This window comes from Homo sapiens, chromosome 21 (assembly GCF_000001405.40).
Source record: "Homo sapiens chromosome 21, GRCh38.p14 Primary Assembly".
NCBI classification, from domain to species: Eukaryota; Metazoa; Chordata; class Mammalia; order Primates; family Hominidae; genus Homo; species Homo sapiens.
The window spans coordinates 9,179,371-9,183,722 of NC_000021.9; positions in this window are offsets into that span (position 1 = coordinate 9,179,371).

The following is a 4,352-nucleotide window of genomic DNA, read 5'->3' on the forward strand; positions in this document are numbered from 1 at the left end:
GATTGGACATTTGTGTCTTCAATTGGCCCTCTTCAGCCCTAGGATAAATAGTGATTAATCTAAGCCAATAGTTTTCGGCTCTGTCTGACCCAATGCCTCTACTTCATAAGAAATTCTTCAAAGACCCCTTCGCTATTCTAAATTATTAGTGAGAACACAATGTATGCATTCAAGTTGTTGAAAATATTAATGTTATGCTGAAGCTAACAAAGGAGAAATAATTTACTGTCAATATATAATCCAAAATGTATATAATTGTGCCAGAACATTTACATATCAAATACAATAGAACATAATGAAATTTTCATATCTTCGCCCATACCTTGAAACATTGTAAATAAAAAGTTACAAATATAGTTTCATTGAATAACCAAATGCCAAAACTGCCATTTCTATTGTTGACATGATTGAACTGCATTGGTAAATGTAATAGATACTTTCTGTTTGGCCCTTGTCCCCTGTTATACTCCCCTGTTTACTGGCTTTTGTCCAAGTGGAATGGTCCATATTGAATATCTCCATCGGTTCCCTTGTTCATTGCCTTCTATGCATGTTCATGAGATTAAAGGGAAGGAGGAAATGGGATTGGGGGTTATTGCCTAAACTCCCTCTCTGCTAGGTCTCCTGGACCAATCTTTTTCATAAGAAAATTAGTGGGCCGGGCGCGGTGGCTCACGCCTGTAATCCCAGCACTTTGGGAGGCCGAGGCGGGTGGATCATGAGGTCAGGAGATCGAGACCATCCTGGCTAACAAGGTGAAACCCCGTCTCTACTAAAAATACAAAAAAAATTAGCCGGGCGCGGTGGCGGGCGCCTGTAGTCCCAGCTACTCAGGAGGCTGAGGCAGGAGAATGGCGTGAACCCGGGAAGCGGAGCTTGCAGTGAGCCGAGATTGCGCCACTGCAGTCCGCAGTCCCGCCTGGGCGACAGAACGAGACTCCGTCTCAAAAAAAAAAAAAAAAAAAAAAAAGAAAATTAGTGTTTCCTTCTGTGATCAGGGCAGTTTACTCCCCAGAACTCTGCCTGCCACTGCTAAACCAGAGTTATTGTGGGGTGTGATTTCTGTGATTCCTTCACCCTTCTCCCCTGACATTTTCGTAAGTAGTCTCTTTGGAAATAAACCCAAGTTAAATTATCTTAGTTGGTGTGTTTTCTATTTTTCCTATTGAGACTCTGAAATGAGTATCTAAATGAAAAAATCTACCATCTTTTCTCATATACATAGTAGTTTCATTCTTGCAAAATTCATGGCATATTAAAACCATGCAAAAGTACTTGGCACTTAGGCAGTTACATTTGGGATTGTATAATTAAACAAAGCAGGTTATTCACCTTCATTACATTAGAAAGTCATTCAGGACATACAGCAATCCTTAATTAGGAGCGGCTATCCCATGTTACTGGACATATGGTATCCCTGTTTTCCAATCCTTAAAGTTTTTCCTTAAAGTTCCAAAATGCCGTCACTTATTATTTCCTGCCATTGAATTTTGTCACATGAAGTTGTAAGGCTGGGAATGCCATAGCCATCTTGAAAACATAGGTAGAAAGATAAGATAATCACAAAGAAGTGGATCATGTTGAATTAACTAAGCATTGATACCATCTATTTGTTGTGCGATTTGGTCAAAGTTGCTCCTTGTTTTTTTCTTCAATTAGTTGACTATTCTGTTACTTGAAGCTAAAAACATTTTTTTCTTTTCTTTCTTTCTTTTTTATTTTTGACAGAACCTTACTCTGTTGCCCAGGCTGGAGTGCAATGGCATGATCTTGGCTCACTGCAACCTCTGCTTGCCTAGTTCAAGCAATTCTCACACCTCAGCCTCCCTAGTAGCTGGGATTACAGGCACATGCCACCACACTCAGATAATTTTTGTATTTTTAGTAGAGATGGGGTTTCACCCTGTTTGCCAGGCTGGTCTCAAACTCCTGACCTCAAGTGATCTGCCCACCTCAGCCTACCAAAGTGCTGGGATTACAGGTGTAAGCCACTGACCCTGCCCAAAAACATTTTAACCAATAGCAAAGCACATTATTTCATTATATTTTTTCAAAAGTTGCCAGTAATTTCAATTAAAAATATTATATAACATGTTTAATGCAATACAAATGCTTTTCAATGTACAATGGGGTTAAGTCTTGATAAGCTGATTATAAATTGAAAATACAGTAAGTTAAAAATGTATTTAATATCTAACTTACTGAATATCACAGCTTAGCCTGGCATACCTTTAATGTGCTCAGAACACTTACATCAGCTGACAATTGGGCAAAATCGTTGAATACAAAACCTGCTTTATAATAAAGTATTGGATATTTTATGTAATTTGTTGAATATTGTACTGAAAGTGAAAAGCAGAATGGTTATATTCTATTCAAAGCTATCACTTTTGCTTCATCATAAAGTAAAAAAAATCATAAATTGAACCATTATCAGTTGTTGACCATCTGTGTATATGTATGTGTGTGTGTACCTATATAAACATGTATGTTTATATATATATTTGTGTGTGTATATAACCTCGGTGTGTGTGTATGTGTGTTTGAGAGTGTGTGTGTGTGTGTGTGTGTGTGTGTGTGTATGAAATTGTAGGGAAGTAAAATTTCTTATCTTATAGATATAGCATGTTAACATGTTGGTACCTATCCTCCTGAGATGTAAAATTTTACATGGATAGATATGTACATTTACAGTTGTACACAAAGAGAAACATATTCTGTAGCCTCTTTGTTTTTCTGCAGTTTCATTCAACACTATCTGGTTTATATGGGTGATTACATATATAATGCTAGGATTAAGGTTCTTCTCTATAACTTTGAAACTTCCTTGATTATCAACCCTTGGTATATTCTTAGAATAGGATTTTATTTTAGAATTAAGATCCTTGTTTCAGGACTCTAGACTGTTAACACACAGAGCCAATAATTATTCAGAATGGTTGGGTTAGTTCACATTCCCACAGAGGAGACATCAAATGTCCAGGCTGCACAGCCTCATTAACACTAGATTTTCTGGACATTTTATATAGTATTTCATCTGATATAAAAAGTAGAATTCTAATTTGATTATGGTTGTTAATTTATTTTTACATTTTTAGTCATTATGAAAATGTTTTACTATATGAAAAGCCAGGAAAGGGTTTTTTTTTTAAGGTAGTACTTCAGAAATATTTATGATACTTAATTTTTAAAAATTAACTCTAAAAGAATCTTGAAATGTCTGTTTAATAAAATAGGACATAAATACTGGTCACATTAGTGAAAAATATTTGTTTAAAATTAAAATATCTGCAGCAATCCTGTAGATATTAATAAGTTTTTAAAGAATGACATCTTCAAAATATAACTGTTCTAAACTAATATGTCTCCATTAATACATATAGATACATATATCTAAATAAATTTGAAGACTTCAAATTCCAGGTACAATATAATTTTTTTCTATCCTTTGATTTGTCATTCAGGATTTTGTAATTTGAACAGAAATATTTTGCCCTAACCACATGTCTGTCTTTTCTCTTACTAAAAATATTATTTTATGTAAAATTGTTTTAAAGGTCAGTTAGCACGTTTGAAAAGCATCTTGTACAATGTTACATAATATATTGCATATTTGGTTACATTGTTTTAACTGTGTAAATATGGTTTAAATCTGTGATGCTCTTTAGTGCTGATCATGATGCAAATCAAATTTATCTGTATAAAAGGCTCCTGTTAATTTTTTTTATTATACTTTAAGTTTTAGGGTACATGTGCACAACGTGCAGGTTTGCTACATATGTACACATGTGCCATGTTGGTGTGCTGCACCCATTAACTCCTCATTTAACATTAGGTATATCTCCTAATGCTATCCCTACCCCCTCCACCCACCCCACAACAGTCCCCGGTGTGTGATGTTCCCCTTCCTGTATCCATGTTTCCTCATTGTTCAATTCCCACCTATGAGTGAGAACATGTGGTGTTTGATTTTTTGTCCTTGTGATAGTTTGCTGAGAATGATGGTTTCCAGCTTCATCCATGTCCCTACAAAGGACATGAACTCATCATTTTTTATGGCTGCATGGTATTCCATGGTGTATATGTGTCACATTTTCTTAATCCAGTCTATCATTGTTGGACATTTGGGTTGGTTCCAAGTCTTTGCTATTGTGAATACTGCCACAATAAACATACGTGTGCATGTGTCTTTAGAGCAGCATGATTTATAATCCTTTGGGTATATACCCAGTAATGGGATGGCTGGGTCAAATGGTATTTCTAGTTCTAGATCCCTGAGGAATCACCACACTGACTTCCACAATGGTTGAACTAGTTTACAGTCCCATCAACAGTATAAAATGTTCCTATTT